At 38.1% G+C, this 27,729-nt stretch overlaps 1 long non-coding RNA gene across 1 annotated transcript in view; it reads right to left on the bottom strand.

Moving 5' to 3' along the window:
• The window catches only part of LOC107985486 (uncharacterized), a 39,395-nt gene extending 17,615 nt beyond the window's left edge, over positions 1 to 21,780 (bottom strand). Inside the window, exon 1 of the long non-coding RNA XR_001754998.2 lies at positions 21,700 to 21,780. This is a non-coding gene — a long non-coding RNA (uncharacterized LOC107985486). The remainder of the gene's footprint in view (positions 1 to 21,699) is intronic.
• Between the last annotated feature and the right edge of the window lie 5,949 nt (positions 21,781 to 27,729).

The raw sequence follows: 27,729 nt of genomic DNA, 5'->3' as shown, positions 1-27,729 counted from the left end.
ATTCCTCTTTATATTAGAAGTCAAAAGTAAAAAGGCTACCTTGACTATATAAGCTTCGCGAAAATCTATATATTTAACTTTAGAATGGCTTTTCTTTTATCCCCATGTAACGTTTGAAAATCATGTTGATGCATTTTATAAAGAATCACACTGGCTCAAAAGTATAGCAACAAAAACAATTCAAACATAAAATCTCATTTTTAAGTTCTTAGCTTTAAATATGCATCAACAGAATGTGAACTGCTATTTTCTCCACATGGGTCTTAAGCACTATACAAAGCATTGGCAGATCAGTATTACAGAAAAGTGGACTTGGTTATTGTCACACTGTCTCTGTCACATCAAAGCTATCTCTCTTTTGCAAGAACCAGTTTTTTTCTGTACTGCACTTTTTCCCCGGCCACTACATGGAATGCTCTGAAGCACTGATCAATTAGGGAAATTGTTTTAATGAGGGAGGTTGATTTTGTCATGTATGCGTTATCTTTCTCTTTTCTTGACCACATTATCCTCTGGGAATCAGAATGCTAAGTTGTTATTGGGAGTCAATAACTGGCTTGAAATTACTCTGAGAAGTTCACCCCTACCAAACTGCTTCATGGCAAATTATTGCTTACCACCTAGCATCTGATACATATATACCAGAGGGCATGCACACATGCATGTATAGGATGGCAATTTGCTGTACTTTAAATTTATTCCTTTCTTCTCACCTTTCTCACATGCCATCAAATCCCCCATTTCCTAGATGGAATGCATCTTTCTAGATGAAAAGAAAAAACTCACTGATGAAATGAGTACTAATTCATTTGCCTCACTGGTCGAAGAAGCCAATTAATATATGAGAAACATCAGCTAGCTTAAAGAAACGTGGAGTGCAGATAAAGACTAAAGAACCACGGAGTCAACCAAGTAAAGTGCCAACTCAAAATGATAGCAAAGAACTAGATATCTAGTATGTGTTCAATAGATGGCTAAGGGTGAGTTTCCTGATATTCTAATTTACTCAGGAGCAATCTGAATTTTCTAAGAGGATATTTATAATAAATTCCTACTGGTAGACTTTAGGCTATTATGTAAGACAGTAAGAGGTTTTTTTTTTTTTTATTTTTGTGCCCATTAAATTGCATCATGTAGTTGATCATTTAACTTTGTCTAAATCCAAGTTTGACCTGTTCGTCTATGTTCCACATAATTGAAAAAAGTACTGGGAGTAAATGAGGGGGATTCTCAGATGTGCTTACTGAGTTATGTTGGTCTGGTAGATGCTGGAATGGAGAGTGAAAGTCTTCAACTTTTTTTGTCATTCTATCGAACCGACAGGATGGAGACAAGAAGTAATACTCACTTTGCAATTAATCACAATCTCATCAGGAAGACTCACCCCCAACCGGTTCATTAAAGGCAAATAGACTTCTTCCAAAGCCTTAGTTTTCCTTTCCATTATCAATCCGGGGAAGAATAAATGAGATTAAAAATGTAAAGCAAAAAGGAAGAACTGAATAAATCAGCCAAAAAATAATAGGATCTTTGGGAGAAAATAGTTTTTTACAAAAACGTTCAGAAAGAGTATAAAATAAATATCTGAGTGTAGAGATCTAAGTACATATACCCACACTGACATTAACACACATGTTCAGCAAACATCAATATTGATTATGCCTCTGGAAACTATTGACTGGTGGGAAAATCAATATATATCTTGATGTTGACCACAACAAAATCAATAATTGCTTCATAATTTACCAAGACTCATGGGATTTAATGAACCAGATAGCTATGAAGTAAAGCAAAATGATTGTACTTTCTCCCCAGCATACTGGATAAAGGATATAATACCAGCATTAGACATTGGTAGCCATACCTTGTGTCACCCCCCTAAACCCCATCTTTATTGAATGAAGCAAGTGAAACATCACCTTTCCCAGAATTGTGGATGACAACTCTGAAATTTGAGCAAGGAGAGAAGAGTAAGAGAAAGAAACCTCAGGGAAGACAACACTCACAAGAAAACTGATTCAGTGTCACAGATGAATGTGGGCATTTGTGCCTGTGAATTAAACAGCAGTCGCCTGCTGATAAATATCATTTATCCACTTTGTTAGGCCCCAGTATTGCATTATATTGATTGTACGTTCAGCCTTTTCTAGTTTTTCACTTATTTCCAGAGATTAATAAATGCAGGTTATTCAAATGCCATGACTATCTAAAATCCAATCCAAAGGGACTTTAGTGGCAGATTTAGAAAAAAAAAAATGCTGGTACTCTTCCTGTCCTTCTTTAGGATCCCCTCAATATTTGCATCTACTTAAGAAAAGCAGAAGTAAAAAGATGGCCAACACTCCGCAGTGCAGACACAATGATTCATCTGCATATTAGGAGCTGGGCCAATACGACCAGTCATTAAAATCTTTCAGTTTAAGTCCAAAACAGAGAAGCTCTATACACTGAACTGTAGGGATGTGTGTATGAATTGCCTGATAAATATGCAGAATGATGTTTCCCAGTGCTCCTAAATGATATTAATAAGTCGAGCTCTGCAAGGAAAAACAGAGGTCAAAGCAACCAACAGAGTAAGCCAAAAATGGGTTCCCATTAGAATAAATTTCTAATAATGAATTTCTCTAGAAAACTGCCAGACTACCTTTATCTAAAACTATAGAAAAAGATCTGGTTCCCATTTTGTAGGGTCTACACAGGGAAATAATAAGTGAACAAATGTGGGCTGAAAGCATAATGGCTAATAATATTTCCCAGAAGAGAAGAAAGAGGTGAGCTGTGTCTTTACAGACATTGCCAATAGGTAAGAGAGGGCACAGAAACTCAAAGAAGCCTTAGATTTACTGAATGTAAGAGAAGGAAGAGGAGAAAAGAGATGTAGATACAAGATTAAAGATTATAAATAAAATTACCATAAGTGACCCCAATTTACCAATCATTTGAAGTGGTTCTAAGAGCAAGATTGTTTCATATTGCCTAAGTTTATGGCAAGGAGCATCAGTGATGTTACACTTTTCAAATGTATCATAACTTACGCATTTCAGAAAGCTTGTACATGGATTATCGTAATTGAGCCTCACAAAAAAACTTTTAAATGGCCTCCTGTGTGATGGTTAATTTTATATGTCAACTTGACTGGGCTTAGGGATGCCCAGATAGTTAGTAAAACACTATTTCTGGGTGTATTTGTGAGGGTCTTTCTGGAAGAGATTAGCATTTGACTCAGTAAACTGAGTAAAAAAAACTGTCCTCACCGAGGTAGGTGGATATCACCCAGGCCATTAAAGGTCTAAATAGAACAGAAAAAAAAATAAAAAATTACTATTTTCAATCAGAAGGATTGTAAAATTCTAATATCTGCCTTTGCACATTTTCTGTCATAAGCTAACCATTGAAAGCTAATTAGGCAAAAATTATTTATTCAAATGTCTACCCCTAACATTACTATCTTAAATTCCACATTCTTTTCTATGTGACTAAGAGCACCATTTTATATCAGGTGTTCTATCCTTTAGGGCTATTGTGAGACATGAGGAATACTTCCATCTCTGATAACCAAGCTGGGGAAATGCCCCTTGATACACCAAATCTCAACTATTAAATGATCTAAAGCAGTGTTTCTAAAATTGTAGTCAATGGACTATCTTCCTTAAAAGGAACTAGAGATCTTGTTAAAATGCAGACTCCTAAGTCCTACCCCAATACTTTTGAGTCAGAATTTCTAATTGGGTCCCAGCTATATTTTAACAAACATCCTAGATAATATTTGTGTACAGGGTAGGATAAGAACCACTGAATCAGAAAATTGGAGCGATGAGTATACAAATAAGACTCAGGCCCTAACACAGAACCCTCTACACATTATACCCAGGGACAGCAAGTACAGATCAAAATAAACAAAAACAAAACGTCCTAGCTTAGGTAAAAAAATAAAAATGAAAAACAGGACAGGTGCGGTGGCTCACGCCTGTCATCCCAGTACTTTGGGAGGCTGAGGAGGGCGGATCACTTGAGGTCAGGAGTTCAAGACCAGCCTGGCCAACATGGTGAAACCCCGTCTCTACTGAAAATACAAAACTTAGCCAGGCGTGGTGGTGCATACCTGTAGCCCCAGCTACTCGGGAGGCTGAGGCAAGAGAATCACTTGAACCCGGGAGGTATAGGCTCCAGTGAGCCGAGATTGCACCACTGCACTCCAGCCTGGGCGACAGAATGAGACCCTGTCTCAAAAAAAAAAAAAAAAATTCTCATTTAAATGCCTTCAAAGGAGGTTTTACAAAGCCTCTTGATATTGACAGCTTCTTTTTTTTTTTTCGAGATGGAGTCTCACTCTGTCGCCCAGGCTAGAGTGCAGTGGCATGATCTTGGCTCACTGCAACCTTCACCTCCCAAGTTCAAGTGATTCTCCTGACTCAGTGTCCCGAGTAAGTTTGGATTACAGGCGTGTGCCACCATACCCAGCTAATTTTTGTATTTTTAGTAGAGAGGGAGGTTTCACCAGGTTGACCAGGCTGGTCTCGAACTCCTGACCTCATGATCCACCAGCCTCAGCCTCCCAAAGTGCTGGGATTACAGGCATGAGCCACCATGCTCAGCCAATAACTTCCTATATGAGTGTGCTTCACTCTAAACATGCACACACACAAAACTAAAATGTGTATATTTAAAAAATCAAATTACTACAATTTTCCTTAAATTTTGGAATATCTTATCCAGGGTTATTTAAAATAGTGTACACAATTATGCATTTTAAATATTGTTCTATCTAGACATAACTTTACACACAGCTGTTCATGAATGTGTCTATTGAACAAAGGTAAGCTTATAGATTTTTCCCAAATAACCCTTCATTTTGGAATTTTCTTTTTTTTTTTTCTGAGACGGAGTTTCGCTCTTGTTGCCCAGGCTGGAGTGCAATGGTATGATCTTGGTTCATCACAATCTCCGCCTCCTGAGTTCAAATGATTGTCCTGCCTCAGCCTCCCAAGTAGCTGGGATTACAGGCATGCGCCACCACACCCAGGCAATTTTGTATTTTTAGTAGACACAGGGTTTCTCCATGTTGGTCAGCCTAGTCTCAAACTCCCGGCCTCAGATGATCAGCATGCCTCAACCTCCCAAAGTGCTGGGATTACAGATGTGAGCCACCGCACCCAGCCAATTTTGGAATTTTCAAAATACGTCAAGGACTGTAGAACTATACATACACACACACACACATATGTATATATAAAATATACGTATAAATACATATATATATAATGTTTATATATACATATATACAATATAATATATACATATGTATATATATGTATATACATTATATAATATATATGTGTATATTTTTGTTTAATTGATGAAATAATTAACTTGTATTTGGGACTGTAATACAAAAAGCTATGGTCTGGGTTGGGCGCAGTGGCTCACGCCTGTAATCCCAGAACTTTGGGTGGCTGAGTTGGGGGGATCATTTGAGGTCAGGAGTTCAAGACCAGCCTGGCCAACATAGTGAAACCCCATCTTTACTAAAATTACAAAACTGAGCAGGGCGTGGTGGCAGGCTCCTGTAATTCCTGCTACTCAGGAGGCTGAGGCACAAAAATCACTTGAACCCGGGAGGCAGAGGTTGCAGTGAGCCAAGATCGCACCACTGCACACTCCAGCCTGGGTGACTGAGATTCAGTCTCAAAAAAAAAAAAAAAAAAAAAAGCTATGGTCTGGAATGGAAAAAAATGGGCCTGCTTTCTGAATCTTCCACATACTAATTTATGCGGCCATAAGCACATCGCTTAACAACCCTGGGCTTTGTTGTTCCTTTGCTGCCTGGGCATGCTAATATTCTCCTCCCAGCATTGCTATTAAGGTGTTTAGCAGGGTTTCTGAATGAACATAATAAATTTAAAGTGCAACACAGAACTTGCCTCCCCTGACACTTAGCAAGTGAGCAAAGAAGAGCTACAGCAACCTACAGAAGGAAAAATAATTAAACGAAATCGTGGAAGGAAAGTTGCAGGGGAGGGGGCATTCTTCAGTGGAGGGGAGGGGTGCAGTACAGCTGGCATCCAAACCAGTTCCCTCCTAGTGGACCTCAGCTTATCCCAGAAGGAGTGTCACTGAGGTTACAAAGTTCTGAAATTTGTTGTTAATACCCTCAACCTGAACAGAAGCAGACTGAACATATATCTGTATCATTTTCTCTCTTAACAGAAGAATGATGGAGTGGTTCCTGGGGTGAGGCAGGTTAAATGGAGAAAGCAGACAATGTACATAACTCTCTCTGATGAAAATGGAAACTACAGACCTACATCCTGTATTGAAGTACAACTGAAGAACAAGCTAAAGCTCAAGGCCCTTCCTGCCTCCAAGCGGAAATAAAATATATGATTCCTAGCCAAGTGTTACAGAACACGTATGTGACAAAAAACCTCAAAGGCACAAAAGATCCTAAATATCCTAAAAGAGAGCTCCTCAGCCGACCTTTCTTCGTATCCTCTATTTTCTCCTTAGGCGACTCAAAAATGGGTAGAAGCAAAAGACTTAACTATCAAACTGTAGCTTACAGAGGAAAACAAACTCTCATATGACAGGAAGAGGGTTAAGAAATCACCCAGCTCTATACCAGATCAAATGGAACATCAGCACAGGACTGCCAAGTCATAAGCAAGAAGAAAAAAAATAGCACGGCAACAATGCAAACATGTGACAGCCAAAAGGGTGGGAGTAGAAAAGGGAGCAGAATGTCAAAAAGACAAAGAACCAATGCTAGAAGGAAAAATTACTCAATGAACGAGGGAAAGTGCTCTACCACTGTGTTATGCTATGAAACAACGTAATTATTAAATGAATACGGTAAGATGGTAAAAGGATAGAATAAGATGAAAAGAGAAATTGCCTAGCTGAGGCAATAAATTGATGCTCAAATCAACATCATTTCTGAACTAAAAAACGTATTAGAACTAGCAAGGAACTGAATAGACATTGCTAAAGAGCAAGCTACTAACATGTGGAAAATTGAACATAAAAATAATGAATGCAAATTTAAAAAACAAAGACATCTAAACAATTAGAAAGGAACTAAGTTACATGGAGGACAAAGATGATATAGCCAAAGAAGAATTGGTGCCCGTGAGATAATCAACAAGTGAAACTGAAAAAATATGTTGTAAGTTGTAATACAATATATATATCGTATTATACAATACGATATATATATACATATATCCCAAAATTCAAAGAGCAACCAATGAGCCTGAACAAAAGCTCATATCATAATTGAACATATCAAGTGTTATAGGGGATTTTCAACACCAAGAACCATCTAGTAGACTAAGTAACATCAAGAATAAACAATTACACAGTCATCCAGACAAATAATGCACATCACTCACAAAAAGAAAAAAAATCATGCTGGCCGTAGATTTATTCACCATACCAATGAATGCCAGGTGATGATGGAATAATGTCTATTAATCTCTAAGGGAAAAAAAATGGTTCCCCCAAGAGAATTATCTCCAGCCAAGAGAGGTTGTTCACATAGCATCAGGTAGACATTATTGAACATAGAAGAAACGAAGGAATAAAAACATCCATGAGGCCAGGCGCGGTGGCTCACGCCTGTAATCCCAGCACTTTGGGAAGCTGAGGCAGGCGGATCAAAAGTCAGGAGTTTGAGACCAGCCTGGCCAACATGGTGAAACCCTGTCTCTACTAAAAAAAAATACAAAATTCAGCTGTGTATGGTGGTGTGCACCTGTAATTCCAGCTACTTGGGAGGCTGAGGCAGAATTGCTGGAACCCGAGAGGTGGAGGTTGCAGTGAGCTGAGATTGTGCCATTGCACTCCAGCCTGGGTGACAGAGCAAGACTCACTCTGTCTCATAAATAAATAAATATTAAAAAGTAAAAAAATCCATGAATTCCTTCTTAATGACAATAAAATCTAGCCAATTAATAGATGAGTCAAAATTTAAAACTTGAGAATGAAGAAGCCATGGTAACAGAAGAGGTGTTAAGCATTTTATCCACTGTACTATTTTTTCAACTTTCCTGTATGTTAGAATGTATTCATATTAAAAGGTTGGAGAAAAAAGATTAAATTAATGTTATACATGCTATAGTATAATACCATGAAAATACTATACCAGGTACTAGTAAGTGGTATACATGGTATACTATTCCATGGTATAGTATTACACATGTTTTGCAAAGATGGTGAAGCTGAGCCATAAGATGGCACTATTTGTGTTACTGGGTGGTGTCTGACCTCACTCCCTTAGCAGTGCTAGGAAGGATAGGGATAGGAAAAATATCTTTCAGCAGCACTCCAGACTGACATGGTATAAGCAGATATTTATCGGAAGTCTATTCCTAAATTATAAAAAGACTAGCTTTGATAAGAAGAAAAGTTAAGAATCTGGGACAGAGTCAGAGCCTTGGGATGGGATGGAACCATCAACAGGACCATTATGCTACTCAGTAATACTAAAATAAAAGTTGTTAAAATGTATCTTTGTTAATACATTTGTGGTGCTCCCCTAGAAAAAAATAAGAAAGTCATGGTCTCTTTTTTTTTTTTTTTTTTTTTTTTTTTTTTTTTTTTTTTGAGACTGAGTCTCACTCTGTTGCCCAGGATGGAGTGCAGTAGTGGGGTCTCGGCTCACTGCAAGCTCCGCCTCCCGGGTTCATGCCATTCTCCTGCCTCAGCCTCCCGAGTAGCTGGGACTACAGGCACCCACCACCACGCCTGGCTAATTTTTTGTATTTTCAGTAGAGACGGAGTTTCACCGTGTTAGCCAGGATGGTCTCGATCTCCTGACCTCATGATACACCCACCTTGGCCTCCCAAAGTGCTGGGATTACAGGTGTGAGCCATGGCACCCAGCTGGTCTTTGTCTTTTGAGATATTGTCTGTTCTCATCATTGTGTCATGTGATGAGAAGATTATTTAACCAAATACCAGAAAAGCTGAAGTTATAGTTTAATATATTTGGTTATCTATAGATATAATATACAACATATAAATTAAATAAGAAAATATCCATGTGTTAGTGGGCATCTATTGAAATTATGCATGTGATAATTTCAACAGATCTTCCCCACACACGTACATCTAATAAAATTTTATACCCTATAACAATAATTTTAAAGTAATAAAAAATTTTACTTTACTATAATTATTTATATTAAATCAAAACTTGAAACATATGTGGCATTCATTTTAAACACAAGAAAAGAGTAAGGATACCTATTATCAGTATTGTGTTGGTCAGAGAATTTTTGGTTTTGAGAAACAGAATCCCACTAGAGATAGATCACAGAAAGGAGGGTTTATTATAGTAGAATCTAAAACCTAAAGGGACACCAGGTGTAGTGGCTCAGCCTATAATCCCAACACTTTGGGAGGCTGAAGCAGGAGGATCGCTTGAGCCCAGGAGTTTACGATCAGCCTGAGCAACATATTGAGACCCCATTTCTATAATAAATTTTAAAAAATTAGCCAGGCGTGGTGGTGCATGCCTGTGGTCCCAGCTACTTGGGAGGCTGAGGTAGGAAGCTCACTTGAGCCTGGGAGGTCAAGGCTGCAATGAGCCACGATAGCTCCATTGCACTCCAGCCTGGACAACAGAGAGAGACCCTGCCTCAAAAAGTTAATTAATTAATTAATTAATTAATTGAAAAACCTAAAGGGAAAACTGCTTCTCACGAGAAGTTGAAAGATAACAAAACAGCTCTTTCCGAGTCTGAATGTTCTCTTGGATTGGCTTTTGTGGGTTGGTGTGTGTGTGCACATGTATGTGTGTGTACACGTGTGTCATACATGTGAGTGTGCATGTGTGTGGGAACTCAGTATCAACAGTACATGAACTTATAGCTCCTGTCTGACTCCTAACCTGCTGGTTGCTGGCTGGCAGATGAATCAGCTTTCCCTAAGGCGTGTGCCCATTTTTTATCCAATCAATCATTACGGAAGCACACATATAGTGCTGAGCTAGCAAGCAGAACAGTTAGAAAGGGAGATTGGACAAGACCGGCAAATTAATTGATGTCTCTTCTACAACTGTTTTTCTAAAATAATAATAAATATCATTAAGATTCAAGTAAGATATAAAAATCATATTGGGAACTGAAAAATTATTATGCACAATTAGAATAATTGCATCATTAAAAGAGCCGAATAAATCTGCTATTAGAGATAAATTACCAATTAGAAATAATAACAGTGAAATGAAAAGATAGAACATCCAAAAAGTTCATCAAAGTCTTATATCCCGTAAAAGGAAGCTAAAGCATAATAATAAAAGAGATCTATTCTCAAGAATAATAGAGTTAGCAAATATTCATGAAAAAGCTTAATTAAAAGCTACATAGAACTTTTATAATGAAAAATGTTAAGTAGGAAATATAAAGAAAAACTTTAATAAGTGAAGTTATAATTTAAACCTTGATAAAGAGATTAATATTTCTTCAAAGTTAATTTGTAGAAGTATTACCATTGCATTCAAACTCTCAATAGAGAGGGGTGGGAAGATAACAAAATATTTCCAAAATCAATTTTAGAAAAGTGTTTAGAATAATTGGAATATTATAAAAACACTGAAAAAAGTGTCACTGGTTTTTAAAATATAAGAAAAGCAAAGTATTGCTCTTAGAAGAATTAAGTTGTGTTAGATGTTAAAACATTATAAAACATTATAAAATTAACAAATTCATAAAAATTAGAATAATTAAAATATTGATTATATCTGCAGACAAATAATAATTTTTCTCAAGCCTAAAGTACCAATCAAAATCATAAGAAAAAACTGACAAATTTAGATATGTAAAACTTAAAATGATATATTAAAAACTCAATTGATAAAGAAACCAGTAGACTATGAACAATATTTGATATTGAGTATGTCAAATATTTCTATAAAATATCATCTCATTAAAATTTATTTTAAAAGGCAAAAATGCCCTAGCATTAAAATTGAAAATATGTAACAATTTGTACAAGAAAGAACACAATTACATTTAAACAAACAAATGGAAATGTGTTCATTCTCACTAAACATCAAAGATTGCACATTAAAGCAAACTTGAAATATTAACATGGACCTACAAATTAGAAAACACTTCTGGAAATAGCACACAGATTGAATAAGGATGTTACCACACTAGAAATACTCTGTACAATTTGTAACACTGCAAACTGGTACAACTGATTTGGATGGCAACATTACAAATTGAACACCAAAGGCCATAAAAAACTATTTTTTCCACTTTACCACTCCCAAGAGATAAAGGAAAGAGTGCAATCTCTTTTTGTTTTTTGCATTTTTAAAATTATTTAAATAGGTTTTTGAGGAACAGGTGGTGTTTGATTACCTGAGTAAGTTCTTTCATGGTGATTTCTGAGATTTTGGTGCACCCATCACCCGAGTACTGTACCTTATACCCAACGTGTAGTCTTTTATCCCTCAGCCCACTGCAACACTTTCCCCTGAGTTCCCAAAGTCCATTGTATCATTCCTATGTCTTTTCATCCTTATAGTTTAGCTCCCACTTGTGAGTAAGAACATATGATGTTTGGTTTTCCATTCCCGAGTTACTTCACTTAGAATAATGGTCTCCAATTCCATCCAGGTTGCTGCAAATGTCATTATTTCATTCCTTTTTATGGCTGAGTAGTAGTCCATGGTATATATATTCCACAATTTCTTTATCCACTCATTGATTGATGGGCATTTGGGCTGGTTCCATATATTTGCAATTGCTAATTGTGCTGCTATAAACATGTGTGTGCAAGTATCTTTTTTGTATAATGACTTCTTTTCCTGTGGGAAGATACCCAGGAGTGAGATTGCTGGATCACATGGTAGTTCTACTTTTAGTTCTTTAAGGAATGGAATGAACACAATCTTTGAGATCAAATAGACACAGGCTCCATTCTGATATACTGCAGCTTTACTATCTTCATTGATTAGAAAGTGATGATAACTGTGGCTAAGATTTCCACAGAGAGCAAATAAGATAATGATACTATAAATGCCTAGCACTTTAGAGACACTAAATGGATTGTATTACCTATGTTTTTTCTCCTCATCTTTCTTATCCCCATGAAACACACACACAAACATGAACATACATGCACTTATATATAAGCACAGAAAATTTAAAGAAAATAATTTAATCAAAAAAGCTTTATGCTCTGAGAACAGAAGGGGAAATGGCATGCCATTCCTTTAACAATGCCTAAGCCATTACAAGGGATTGGGAGTTTTCCAGCTACAATCTTGGCCATCTGTATTAGTCTGTTCTCACACTGCTATGAAGAAATAACCAAGACTGAATAATTTATAACAGAAAGAGGTGAAATTGACTCAGTTCTTCAGGGCTGGGGAGGCCTTGGGGAACTTACAATCATGGTGGAAGGGGAAGCAACCATGACCTTCTTCACATGGCAACAGAACTGTGCTGAGCAAAAGGGGGAAATCCCCTTATAAAACCATCAGCTCTAGTTTACAGTCCCACCAACAGTGTAAAAGTGTTCCTATTTCTCCACATCATCTCCAGCACCTGTTGTTTCCTGACTTTTTAATCCATTCTCAGTAAACTATGGCAAGAACAAAAAACCAAACACCGCATATTCTCACTCATAGGTGGGAATTGAACAATGAGATCACATGGACACAGGAAGGGGAATATCACACTCTGGGGACTGTGGTGGGGTGGGGGGAGGGGGGAGGGATAGCATTGGGAGATATACCTAATGCTAGATGACGAGTTAGTGGGTGCAGCGCACCAGCACGGCACATGTATACATATGTAACTAACCTGCACAATGTGCACATGTACCCTAAAACTTAAAGTATAATAATAAAAAAAAAAAAATCAGATCTCGTGAGAACTCACTCATTATCACAAGAACAGCATGGAGGTAACCTCACCCATGATTCAATTACCTCCCACTGGGTCCCTCCCATGACATGTGGGAATTATGGGAGCTACAATTCAAGATGAGATTTGGGACACAGCCAAACCATATCACCATCTGAAGAAAATAGGATCCAAAAGGACCCAAAGGCAGAAGGAAATCTGGCATATTCCTGGACTCCATCTAGGGATAGAAGCTTAGGGAGAGAATGCTCTTTTAAGACACTAAAAACTATTACACAACAGGGTCTGAATGCTGCTTTGAAGGCCTAACTCATCAGATTGGTGCATGCTTTAAACTGGCTGCACATATCCCCCTCTAACCAGCAGGTGAGTTCCCAAGAGGAAGGAGAGATCAATGATAGAAAAAAATAATTGTTTTCCTCTGCACATCAAACTTGTAGAATGAGTTGAATTTTGTAGATGTTGCATGAAAAAGCACTTTTAGAAAACTAAAGGACAATCCAGTTTTAGAAATTCCCATAAGACTGGGATTTTTGCTCTCTTGTCTGCGTTTTTAGGTTGACTCCATGAAGGTATCACACCTTTACTAGGGTTAATACCTGTCTAACAATCTGTAGTTCTTCAATCAGCTATGAAAACCATATTTTTCAAAATGAGTTATTAGAATCTGGAAATTATATGATTATTATTACTTCTAATAATTATTTGTGTTATTATTTTGGAAATAATAGCAGCCAGGCATGCTGGCTCATACCTGTAATCCAAGCACTTTGGGAGTCCAAGGTCGGAGGATTACTTGAGCTCAAAAGTTTGAGACCAGCCTGGGCAACATGGTGAAACCCCATCTGTACAAAAACTTTTAAAAATTAGCCAGGCCTGGTGGCCTGCACCTGTAGTTTTAGCTTCTCAGGAGGCGGAGGCAGGAGGATCACTTGAGCCAGGGGAAGTTGAGGTTGCAATGAACCAGTATCTAGCCACTGACTCCAGCCTCGGTAACAGAGTGAGACCCCATATCAAAATACAATAAAATAGAAATAGTGGCAAAAAATTATTTCTTTCCAAAGGCCCTAACTTATAATCCTCTTTTACAGTACATAAAACCAGATTCTGAAAATCACATGGGTCCACACATTACGAAGAGGGTCTTTTCTCTCTGTTTATGTCATCTTTTGAGTGCACTTACAGATTCCTGTCTTGAATTCACTGCTGGTTTTTCAGCCTCTATTGCTGCTTCAGCTTGCTCTTCCGTTTCCTAGTTGCTTACTTGTTTCTTCATTTTATTTATAGCTCTATTTTTTCCTGCACTGTTGGAATGATTTCCAGTTGCACCATTCACGCTTTCAACTATTTGAAAAAAAAAAATCTCATTTTCTATAAAAATAGCTAACCTCAAAGTGATTCATTTCATTGTCCAGGCCTTTTTATGATTAAAAGACCTTTTCATATTATTCATGAGTCTCAACTGATTCATCCGTATAATTGAGATTTTAAGCTTTTAGGTTAAGGACTACAATTTCCCAGTGACATTTTCAGTGCTAGGTGGAAAGTCTGTGCTGAAATTGATGCTCTTTCTTAAAAAAAGAAATGTTAGCACTTACTTCACCTTTTAACTTAGGCTGCAGAACTAAAGAAATAGGTTTATATTCTTTAAGGTGGGAAAGACCTTAATAACTGCCTGAAGTGACAAACTGTAATAGGAAGTAGATTTTTGTACTAATAGACTTCCGCTTAATAAAATCACACATTTATGTAGATCAATACAGGGAAACCATTATGTGTGAGTATACTACGTTTCAAAACTTTCTTGTTTTGTCCATTCTCAAAGTGATATATGCTCATTAGGGAAAACAACAGGAAAAAAAGGGAGACAAAAAATCAACCGTACTCCCACTAACCAAAACAATATCAATGTTAACACTTGATGAAATGATTTTCTTTATTCATTTATCTAAATGGAATTTGGGGTTTTGTTTTATTCCTTTTTCCTTTTTATGTAATTGTGATCATTCTGTATATGGAACTCTGAACTCCTATATATAAACATTCATAACATATAATGAAAGTACCTTGCTTTCTTAATATTATGGCATGAACATTTCTCTTATTATAAATTTTTACAAAGTATTTCAAAACAATTACATAATATCTCATTGAGTGGTGATTCCTGACCTTACTTAACTATTTTATTCTATGGCATGTTAAAATGGTTACCAATTTTTGCTATCACATTAAGCCAGAAAAGAATATCCCTAAACAGAAAGGTTTTTCATTTGGTCTTTGTTTCTTGGGATAAATTTTCAGGAATAGAGTTATTAGTTCAAAGGGAAGAAATACTTGAAGGGTTTTGGTATACATTATCAAAGTTTTTCCAAAAGACTTGCAACAATTGGCACTCCTCTCTACAAGATACCCTTAAGTTATTAGCAGTAAGTTGTCTCATTAAAAACAGCTTATGTTTGTGAATTTGCTGGGAAGAAATACTTTTTTTCTTATCTTAATTTGCAAATCTTGATCACCATGTGTTGAAATATTTCCACATTTTCATTTATTAGTTGTTGCTCATCTTTTATGATTTTCTAGCAATGATTTTTGCACATTATCTATCATGATTTTAAAGTTTCCATTATTAACACTTTTACACTGTTGGTGGGACTGTAAACTAGTTCAACCATTGTGGAAGACAGTGTGGCGATTCCTCAAGGATCTAGAACTAGAAATACCATTTGACCCAGCCATCCCATTACTGGGTATATACCAAAAGGATTATAAATCATGCTGCTATAAAGACACATGCATGCGTATGTTTATTGCGGCACTATTCACAATAGCAAAGACTTGGAACCAATCCAAAAGTCCAACAATGATAGACTGAATTAAGAAAATGTGGCACATATACACCATGGAATACTATGCAGCCATAAAAAAAGATGAGTTCATGTCCTTTGTAGGGACATGGATGAAGCTGGAAACCATCATTCTGAGAAAACTATCGCAAGGACAGAAAACCAAACACTGCATGTTCTCACTTATAGGTGAGAATTGAACAATGAGAACACTTGGACACAGGATGGGGAACAGCACACACCGGGGCCTGTCATGGGGTGGGAGAAGAGGGGAGGGATAGCATTAGGAGATATACCCAATGTAAACGACGAGTTAATGGGTGCAGCACACCAACACGACACATATATACATATGTAACAAACCTGCATGTTATACACATGTACCCTAGAACTTAAAGTATAATGAATAAATAAATAAATAAATGTTTCCAGTATTGATTTCTGTGGCTTTTCATAAGGAAGAAAATGAATGTGATTCACAATTGATTCAAAAAATGTCCAAAGTATTTGCCCTTTGATTTTTTTATAGGCATAAGTTATTATTTTTATGGCATTAACATCTATCTCTGTCCTTACAGTTTTTCCATTATTTTTAAGTTGGTAAACCTTCCCCCAAACAGAGATTTGATAGTTTTCTTCTAAACTTTTAAATTTATATGATTTTTTCAAGTCTCTTTTATTCTTGTAGATTTTTGGGGGGTGTATGGTAAGAGGTAAGAATCCAAAGATATCTTTTTTTGTAAACAGATAACCAGTTGTCCCAACACTACTTATTAAATACTACTTTTTTAACCATTAGTTTGTGGTGCCTCCTTTACCATATATTGCAGCTTACCTATCATAGAGTTCATCTGAGCTACCTGGTTCTAGTGATTAGCCTATATCAAGCCCACACTGCTTAAGGAATCCAAGCTTCATAATACTTCTTAATATATGGTACAATTCTCCACCACTTATTAATATTCTATTTTAAGAAAAAAAATATTTTTCTTAATTTTTTTTTTTACAAAGTTTCTCTCAAAAGAATCCCATCTGGACTTTGAATTATAATATTAAAATGATAAATTAATTTGAAAAAAGATAATTTTTTACTATTTAACCCTACCTCCTGATAAAATGTACATCTTTCATTTGCTACAGTTTTACTTTAGGGCATTAGGTAATCTCTTACAGTTTTTAAAAATTTTTTAAATAATTTTTATTCAGGTTATCTTATTTTATTTATTTATTTATTTTGAGACAGTTTCCTTCTGTCACCCAGGCTGGAATGCAATGGTGCGCTGTCACCTCATTGTGACCTCTGCCTCCCAGACTCACGTGATTTTCGTGCTTCAACCTCCCGAGTCACTGGGATTATAGGCATGTGCCTCCATGTCCGGCTAATTTTTGTATTTTTAGTAGAAATGGGGTTTCGTTATGTTGGCCAGGCTGGTCTCAAACTCTTGGCCCCAAGTGATCTGTCCACCTCAGCCTCCCAGAGTGCTGGGGTTACAGGCATGAGCCACTGGGCCTGGCCTATTCAGGTCATTTCTACTAATTGCAGATTTGTGCTATTTATGCACATGGACATTCTATTTTATTATACTATGTAACCTAAGTACTTATAGGGTTATGAAGAAAAGCTAATCAAATATTTTATGTTTAACTTATATTTAGCCTCATTATTTACCCTTTTATAAAATTTAATATTTTTTGTGTTTATTTAAACTTCTAATAATATATCATAATCCATATATAATAAACATACCAATTAAATACATTAATATAATGTAATCCCCATATATTTAAAGTTTTCAATACTGTCACTTAGTTCCTCCCTCCACATATTTATAACCCCTTAAATATGTTTAATATTTCATTGTCTTGACTGGACATTCCAGATTGATAGTTAGATAATCCTGAGGTTACAAGTTAATTGATTTAATGATAATTAAATGTTTAGGTGTTCTTGAAAAACTAGTTCTTTTAAATAAAATCAATGATGAGTTTCCATAAGATGTGAAGTATTCTGGTGTAAAATAAAAGATTCTTTTGTAATTCACAAGCTCCATATTTAAAGAATGCTTAAAATGAAACCCATTTGCGATGTTACATGTAAAATGCCATGTATTGGAACCATGAATGAATTCTCAAAATCTAAAGTACAGTTACAAAGACTTCTCTGAGCACTTGCATTGAATCTAACAGACTGACACATTTTCTATGTGTTAGATGATAAAAATATGCAGTGGGTAGGAGCCTGTGAAAAAATACTCTGGTTAATTTATTATGAATTGTAACATACACAAAATTACCATGGGCAATACCATGTCAAAATTAATTTTAGTAATCTTGACATAAAACCGAATTTGTTTAAAAAAATAAGAGAAAATATTCTGGCAACCCCTCAGTATGGGCCAAAAATGAAGAAAAAAAAAAAGTGAGTGGTGGGAAGACATGTTGAGATAGACCAGAAAGCCAGTATATGTGGTAAACTTGCATTGCTGCCGAAGTCTGCCACTAGAAAATAATTGTAAAGATACAAAAAGTCACAGTAGGGAATTATCTAGCCAGAGAGAAGAATGTGGGGAATACAGACTTAATAAACGGTCTTTGGTGGGATCCAAGAAATCATTTGTAGCAGGATGTTAAAATGTGACCCTTCCTGCCTCATATTTTCACCTGAGACCCTAAATTACCTCCCAAGGATCCTTCGTGTGGCTAAAACCAGTTCTAACAGCCTTTGCCAGTCACCTGCCCCCATCAGAACATGTTAGGAAAAGCTTTTTAAAAAAGATGAAAAGAATATCTTTGAGCAGAAAGCTTTTTTATTATTTGGGCTTAGTTCCTTAGGACTGATCCCCAGGAATGAAATTATTTGTTCAAAGGGAAGAACTATTTGAAAGGAAATCCTCATGAGGAATGTGAAAGGAAAATAAATCTCGGGACCCCAAAATCACTAAGCCAAAGGGAAAAGCCAAGCTGGGAACTGCTTAGGGAAACTTTTTTCCCATTCTATTCCTAAGAAAGATAGCTACTAAGATAAACTCAAAGTCATCCCTCCACTCACTGAGATAAATGCATATCTGATTGCCTCCTTAGGAAAAACTAATCAGAAACTCAAAAGACTGCAAACACTTGTCACTTATATACTTACAACCTGGAAGCCCCCTCCCCACTTAGCATTGTCCTGCCTTTCCAAACCAAACCAATGTACATCTTACACATATTGATTGATGTCTCATGTCTCCCTAAAATGCATAAAACCAATTGTGCCCCAACCACTTTGGGCACATGTCATCAGGACCTCCTGAGGTTGGGTCACAGGCGCATCCTTAACCTTAGCAAAATAAACTTTCTAAATTGATTGAGGCCTGTCTCAGATATTTGGGGTTCACAAGAGGCTGAAGAGATTGAAGATGAAGGATGTGTATGGTATTCTGTGTTGTGGCACTTCCCTTCCTCACCTGTAGTGAAGAGAAGATGGCTTTAAGGGAACCAGGTGGAGGGCATGTGTCCCTTCAACTTCCAGGATGGTACCAGCCTCACTCTTAGAAAGTCCAAAGGAGAGAGAGCACCTGTAGCAGCCTGCCTGAGACACAGCCAAACGGCAGGATTTATTGGTGTCAGATGTATGTCTAGAGTTGAAGAGGACAAAAGTGAATAAAGAGGCTAGATGTAGACAGATCCAGGATCTAAGGGGAAACAGGAAACAGCCAGCTGGAAGAGGAAGCTCCTTGCCAGAAAACCGGAATTGGAGATCCTCAGGGAGGACTCTCCAAGGAAGCCATAATAGTGTACCATAAGAGAAAGAGGCAGCTAGGGACATCTGCCACCCCCAGACCCACCAAGTCTAACAGAGAAATAAGGCCTTCTCTCCCACTCACCAATACGCTGCACCACTACAGTCTTTAAGCCCGGAGAAGCAGGAAGCAGCAAGGGCGGGGGTGTGGGAGGAGTAAAAGAGCAAGACAAAAAAATAGAGATGAAAGGCAGTCCCCATGCTCTGCCCCATAAGAATGGGCCTTGTGCCTGGAACACTTCCTTGCCAAGTTCCAGGCTCTGTGTGTGCTCCTCTGTTAGTCTTAATCATATGTGTCAACGGCCCTCAAGCACACCCCCAGCTTTCAGTATTTCAGGCCCCACAGGGGAAGGGTCAGCGTCCTACTACTGCAGTACAGGATGGGTATGTGAAGGCCTCTTGCCCTGCATTGGCTGCCAGAGGGGCCCACTAGCCATGCAAGACTCATGCACATTGTTGGAGCTGATCTCACCCTGTCTCTTCTCTATGTGAGTAAAAGCGTTGCTCCAGCCAGTGCTTGACAGTACTGCGTTTTCCTTGGCGACTCCAATACTAAGATACAGTGGGCATAAGTGTTTGGATTTCTATTACAGGTGGCTGGCATTATGATGACCTTGTCTATCCTCCAGATAGTTGGAATCTTCACCTGGCATTGGTAACTGGTACATGTTTTTCTGCTCAACAGTAGGCTTACAGATGAGGTCAAGTACAAACTGGAATAGGGAAGAAGTTTTAACTTGAATAAACAATTGTATTAGACTTTAGTGAATATTTTAATACTAAAAATCACCAGAAGAACTATGAGATCAGCCTGGTGTGTCTTCCAGGGATGGTGGGGGGAGGGGTGGGGAATGACAAAATGCAAAAATTAAGAAAGAATTAAGTTGCTTTCTCCATTCCACAAATGAGTTAGAGAACTGACTAAGGGGGTGATAGAGCCAGCTAGTGAGAGTCAGTTACGTTCATTCCATTCCAATTCTGAGTTCCATGGCATCACACTGGGGATTTGAAATTGACCATAGTGGTAGTATTTACACGAGAGAAATTGGCAAATGCTACAAATCAGGTTTTTCTTTTTTTTCTAAAAGCAAGTTGTTAAACATTTACCACCACATCGCTAGAAAGAACCTTTCGTCTAAAATTCAGGTGGCCTGTAGAAAACTTTTAACCAGAACCAAGGATTGGAACTAGGAACTGAGGCAGGAAATAGGGTCTGGAGGCAGGGAACCTAAGGACTTCCTAGAACTAAATTAAATGGAAAAACCCCAACCCAGCCTTCTAAGTCCAAGTAAATAACTTTGTAACTCTACTTCAGCTATGACAGGAAACATCCTCTTCTTTGCATAGGGTGTACACATCCACTTTGCATAGGGTGTACACATCCACTTTGCATAGGGTGTACACATCCACTTTGCATAGGGTGTACACCAAGTAAATAACTTTGTAACTTCACTTTAGCCTCTTCATCTGCATAGGATGGTACACTAAGTAACCAATGGAAACCTCTAGAGAGAATTTAAACTCCAGAAAATTCTGTAACCAGGCCCTTGAGCCGTATGCTCGGCCCACTCCTACCTTGTGGAGTATGTTTCTGATTTCAATAAATCTCTGCTTTAGTTGCTTCATTCTTTCTTTCTTTGTACGTTTTGTCCAATTTATGTTCAAGACACCGAGAACCTGGACACCCTCCACCGGTAGCAGAACCAGCAAATAAAATTGGCATCCCCAAGGATCAAGGCTGAGAGAGGAAATAATAACCTAAAAATTAATCCAAGGATGATCACATCATAAAGGCCACTTCGCCTTTGAACATGCCATTTAGACTAAGGTCAATTTAAACATTAGCCTAAAGGTTAGTAAAGGGGTGCTAGAACAATAAAAAACAGGAAGACAAGACCAGCACAGTCCAGGGACAACAGGACCAGACCTACTGGACCTTAGGCTGACTTCTAAGCATCCCCAGCAAGTGCCCAACATAGACAGAACTAGAGGGAAAAAAAAGAAAACACTAACAAAAGAAGTAGGGAACAGCCATGGAAGGAATCTAGAAAGGACGCTACCAGAATGTATATGTAGCCTTGTTTACAATTCAGTGAATTCTAGAGACAATCGCTGTATTAGTCTGTTTCCACACTGCTGATAAAGACATACCCGAGACTGGTTAATTTATAAAGAAAAAGAGGTTTAAGGGACTCACAGTTCCATGCAGCTGGGGAGGCCTCACAATCATAGTGGAACGTGAAACGCACATCTTTCATGGTGGCAGACGAGAGAGAATGAAAACCAAGTGAAAGGGATTTCCCCTTATAAAACATTCAGATCTCGTGAGACTTATTCACTACTTCAAGAACAGCATGGGGGAAATCACCCCTATGATTCAATTAACTCTGATTAGGTTCCTCCCACAACACGTGGGAATTATGGGAGCTACAATTCAAGGTGAGATTTGGATGGGGACACAGCCAAACCATATCAATTACTTGAGTATATTTTGAGATTCATTCTCTGAGATCTGTTACTTTCGTCAATCTATGTGTTTTCCCATAGTTCTTAGCAATATAAATAAATAACAATGAAAGAGAGTTGTTAGGCATGCCTCAAATACAGCAGGGAAGGAGGAAGCTAAGAAAAATATATATATAAGAGGAATGTGAGGAGGTAGCCGGGCAGAGGAATGTAAACAACTGCAATTGGAAAAGAAACAAGCAGGAGCAAATATCCGAGGGATTGGCAAACTGGTTCTCTGGCAGATTAGCCTGCAGGAAAGTTCCAAGGCCCTCATCATTTCTCTGAAGTCTGGGATCAGTATCTTTCAGAGGAATGGTTTTTCTTAGAAAATGCACACTCCCACATCAGGCATCTCATTAACTTGTGGATTTGCTACAGATTATTTCTCTGCTCTTACGGCAATTTTTAAGCCTCTGAACTTTATCTTATTGTTAGTCATGATTTGATGTGGAATTATAAGCCCCATTAAAATGATTTAAATCTCTTAGAAAAGACCAAAAGCTGCAGTTCTGTCTGTGATAAGACCACTTGAAGATAACAACCATAATTGTCCAGAGTAACTAAACAATCCCTCGCTTGTGGATAAATAAGTCTTGGTATAATCGATCTTTCAGGGATGCTAATCATTCTGTCAGAATCATTGTTGGTTTTGTATTTCCCCAGCAATGATGAACCATCTAACTTAGATCGTATTTCCCATAGATGTCATATCATCTATGGGATATAGATGGAAGATCATAAAACCTTAGTGCTAAAAGATGATCTAATTTAACCTGTCAATTGTATAACTAACCCAACACTCAGAAGAGAAATTAAGTGACTTATCCAAGATCATACAGTTCAGTAGAATTCCATTGACCTAGGGCATCAATTAAATGCTTAACACTTGGTTAATTCAAAAAGTGATAAAATTCAGAGATGCCATATGTTGAACTACATGCATTCTATTTTTCTATTCCTGCATTAGTGTAATGCCTCTTTGTAATGACCAAAATAACAAGTTTATTGAGGCACAGATAGGTAGTTGCATGTTTATGGATTTACAGTGTAACAGAAAGGACCCAGAGCTATTAAAAATCCCTAGACATGTGCCCCAATGCCTGGAAGCCCACAAGGAGCTATTCATTTCTGTTGATTTTTCATACTTCTGAGTGATACATATTAAAAACCCTCAAGATTGTCTGCTACTGGGAAACTCACATAACTTTCTTGAGCATTGGTTTTAATATTATTTTTTACAATATTGGAAAATAGACCTTTAAGCTACCCCCAAGTTATAAATGCAATGGGAATGATGCTCAGATAGGCAAAAATAACAACAATGACTATTCATCCATTCTAGGATGCCCATCAAAGGCCATCACAAGCAGCCAAACAATCAGTTCTCTTTTTCAGGAAATGGAGCAAGGTATCTGCATCCCATCCTTCTTCTGCAGGAAAGAAGGACAGCTAAATTTCCATATCAAACCAGGAGGAACTTGATATTATATTCCTTTTTGTTTTGTTTTGTTTTGAGACTGATTCTCTCTGTCACTCAGACTAGAGTGCAGTGGCATGATCTCGGCTCACTGCAACCTCCGCCTCCCAGGTTCAAGCAATTCTCCTGCCTCAATCTCCCAAGTAGCTGGGATTACAGGCACCTGCCACCATGCCTGGTTAATTTTTATATTTTTAATAGAGACGGGGTTTCACCATGTTGGTCAGGCTGATCTTGAGCTCCTGACCTCAGGTGATCTGCCTAACTTGGCCTCCCAAACTGCTGGGATTACAGTGATACTATAGTCTAGGATCTACCACTGAGTGAATTCCACAGTCAGCATCAACATGATTATCACAGTATCTTTCAGAAATCAGAGAATTGGAAACAGATTTCCAAGAGTATTATTCCTAGGAGAGGTAAATTTTAAAAGAATAAGGTTGGCAGGGAAAGGATCAATGGCAGACCAAAAACCAGAGAGGTGAGATTTGGAGAGAAACCTTTGGATATCCACAGGACATCAAAATGGTGTTAGGAGACGATAATACACGGGACCAAAAAGGGAAAGGCTTTGAAAGAGGAGCTAAGGCAGTGCTACTTTTCCATTCCTCTAACTGCTGGATTATTTTCTTTCATGTGTGCTATAATTTGAGGTTTTCATGTGGACTCCACCCCTTCTCAGGTAGTTTTCGTCTGAAAGGTATACTTTATGTAAGCGGCATTTCTCCTGTCCTTCAATAATAGCATTTATCTGTTAACCACTCAGCTCCGTGGTAGGCTCTCACAGTGGGATCTCATCAAACACACAATTACCCACTCCAGCTGCCATGAATGTGGCATTAATTTCTGACTCTCTGAGACAAAAATTAGATTGTGTTCCAAGTTCTTAGGACTGTAACACCGAACAAAATAACTGAAGTGAGTCTCAATCAATTTAGAGGTTTATTTTGCCAAAGTTAAGGATGCATCCAGGAAAGAGAGACACAAGTCCCAGAAGGATCTGTGGCCCATATTTTTTCCAAAGAGGACTTTGAGAGCTTCAATATTTAAAGTGAAAAAAGTGGGCCGTGGGAAAAGGGGAGAGAAAAAGAGGGAGGATACAGTCACATTCTTGTGATGCTTTGATTAGGCTCACTGAATACTCACATGGAAAGGAGGGGGTAGAGGGAATAGTCAATTAGGTATTCATCTCACATTCAGTAAATCTGCACTTTACATAAGATAAAGTAAACATAGAGTAGAGGAGGAAGTCAAATATGCATTCATCTCAGGGTGGATAGGAATGATTTCCAGTCTCCTCTTGTACCATACTGTGAAGATAAGCTGTTCACTTACATTGTCAGAGTGAGAGAAGCCCCCTGAAGAGACATGTGGCCTTCTACCCTATAACTATTTGTTTAGGAACTCAAGCAAAGGTAGTTTGCTATTGTTGTTGTTGTTGTTGTTGTTTGTGTGTGTGTGTGTGTGTGTGTGTGTGTGTGTGTGTGTGTGTGTGTTCTGCATGACTCAACTTAACTTTTCCTTTTTGGCTTAGTGAATTGGGAGTACTGAGATATTATTTCCTTGCACAGGAATTTACCTGATATCGCTAAGTGACTGATTCCTTGGCAATCATGGAATTTTACATTAAGGCTGAATTTTTAATTAATAGCCCGTGGAACCTCCCTGGGACCCATAGTCATTTTTACGATACGCCAAAATTAACTGCGACCACCTGTCCAACTCTTGCCATGTGCTCAGAGACCAAAGGGCAGACGACTTTGCCAACCAAGCGCGCACATTCCTCAGCTGCCTGTCTGAGGCTTCATTACTGACTTACTGAGAGATAAAAGCTTTTGTCTTCAGCATCTCCCCTGCCAGGTTGGTGATAAATTTACTAGTGCAAATTACCATCCAGGACAATGCTGCAATTCCATTTTGCCAGAGGCAGCTGATTTTCTTTTTAAAGGTGAACCAGCTCCTAGTTCCTGAAAACAACTTTTTCTCCTCACACTCAGCTTTCACACATTTGCAGAAACTATTATTAAGGGATTCTTTTTTCTCACTCTTGAAGTCTATTACAAGGCAATTGCTGAATACAGAGTATATCCAGTTTCCAAAACTGAAAATAAGAGAAGATTGGTGCTCCTGGCCCTCAGAACCATTCTTTTACCCTTTTTGGCACCCTCCCTCTGAGTATAGCTCATACCCTCTGTAATGGCTTTTTTGATGTCAACCCAGCTAAGCTGTAGTCCCCAGGTATTCAAACACTAATCTACTTGTTGCTTTGAAAGGATTTTGCAGATTTAAAGTCCCTGTTCAGTTGACTTTAATTAAGGGAGATTATCCTGGACAACCTGGGTGGGCCTGGCTTAATCAGTTGGAAAGCAGGCCCGAGCCTTCCTGGAGAGACGGAATTCCACCTGCAGACAACAATTTTGTACTGTGTGGTGGAGGTCATTACTCCCTACTGGTCCTACTTCTCTGGGCAAATGCTAAGTGACACACCTTCGTACTATAACACACACAAGCCCGCTGGGAACATCTTTCTGGTGACCCCTGCTTTGGACTTCCCTTTCTCTCTTCCTTCACTCAAATTTTCTTTGTATGCCACAGTGATGATATTCCTTGGTAAACAAAAAGCTAGGACCTGTGACCTAAGGATAGATGTCTTTTATTGTTCTGTGAACATGTTTAAATGAACTATCTTATCAGAGTATAGATATTAAATTCTGTTTATGCATATGATGGCCCAAATTTATTGGAAGGAAAAAATTACTTGAAATTGGTATACCCAGGATAATTTGTGGCATATGATCACCACAACTGTACCCAAATCAATAAACTTCCCATTAGAAATGAATATTATCCCATTTATGCTAAGGTGTTAAAGGTCTTGAGATTGGACTTTTACGCCATACGAACATAAACACTTAAGTGTAATACATATCATAATGTATTTTTATTTTTACAGAATTCTTCAAAAGTTATTACTGCATAAATCAGTATTTCTGATATTGTGGTTCTCTGACCAGCAACATAAGCATTAAAAACTTATTAAAGATAAAAATTTAAATTTTCATGCCCCACCCAAGACTTGATGAATCAGATGAATCTCTGCAGGGGGTGAGGGGCAGGGGTTCCAGCAATCTGTGTTTTAACAAACCCTCCAGGCAAGTCTGATGTCATCTAAAGTTTGAGAACTACTTTCTTAATCTGAGAAAATCACAGTACTGGGAACACATGGGCTAATTTTGAATGACAGATTTGTGGACAGTTAATGAGTTAAGGTATTAAAAAAAAACCTGGAAATTGTTTGTAAAAACAACCATCAAAAATGAATTAATTAGGAGAATACTGGCATCTACCACCAACTTAGCAAGTTTAACACGTTGGAATGTAGGTGAACAGGCAGCCCCAGCACCAGCCCCAATGTTTATAAAACTTCCTTCTAGAGCACAGCCACTAGCAACTCAGTTTTCATCTCCCAATAGTTACTTCGTCTCAACTCAAACTATGAAATTTCAGATATTTGAAACTAGACGGGCTTAGCCTAAGTCAGGGATTCATCACTATAACTTGACAGGGTCACAGAGTAGGAACACAACCATGAAAACTTTTCATCCATGGGTCAAAACTGTTACAGGGAGTTAGACAGGCATGAGCGGGGCAAGAGAGGGCTCTCCCCTACCCACTGGGAATATCGGATGATGGTTGTGCAATTATCACATTGCCTCTCTAAAAGTGATCAATTGGCAGCCAGTGCCAGGAAGAGGCCATTTCCTGATGGTCCACACCTGTTGCATTAAAGTGTTAGTTGAATGCAGGTTCCAGGGAGAAGCAAAAAGGGGCTTCCAATAAAATCTCAGGTATAGGGCAAGTAAGCCTGGGCATGCACATTAAGCGACAAAATGGCGGAGTATGACCTTCCGGGGACACTCCACCGGAAAAGGGAAGAAAGCCTCAGATGGGCATGCACACAACTTCCTAAACACACTACCGCGTGCTCACCTCTGAGCATAAGGAAGGCACTGCACATGGGGGCGGCCCACCCTAAGGGAAGAACCATGGGCAAGGGACCAGCCTAAAAAGTCCTAAGATCAAGGTTAAATACTGCACTTGACCTCAGTGCCCACTTGAGTCTCTTCCTAAAGTATTTTCCTTTCTTTCCTGTTCTAAAGCCTTTTTACATAAACTTCCACTCCTCCTCTGAAACTTGCCCGTCTCTTTTTCTCTCTTACGCCCCTCGGTTGAATTCTTTCT

The sequence above is a fragment of the Homo sapiens genome, chromosome 21 (genome assembly GCF_000001405.40).
Source record: "Homo sapiens chromosome 21, GRCh38.p14 Primary Assembly".
Classification (NCBI taxonomy): Eukaryota; Metazoa; Chordata; class Mammalia; order Primates; family Hominidae; genus Homo; species Homo sapiens.
The sequence above is the reverse complement of the archived record's forward strand: the minus strand, read 5'-3'. Positions and strand labels throughout refer to the sequence as shown.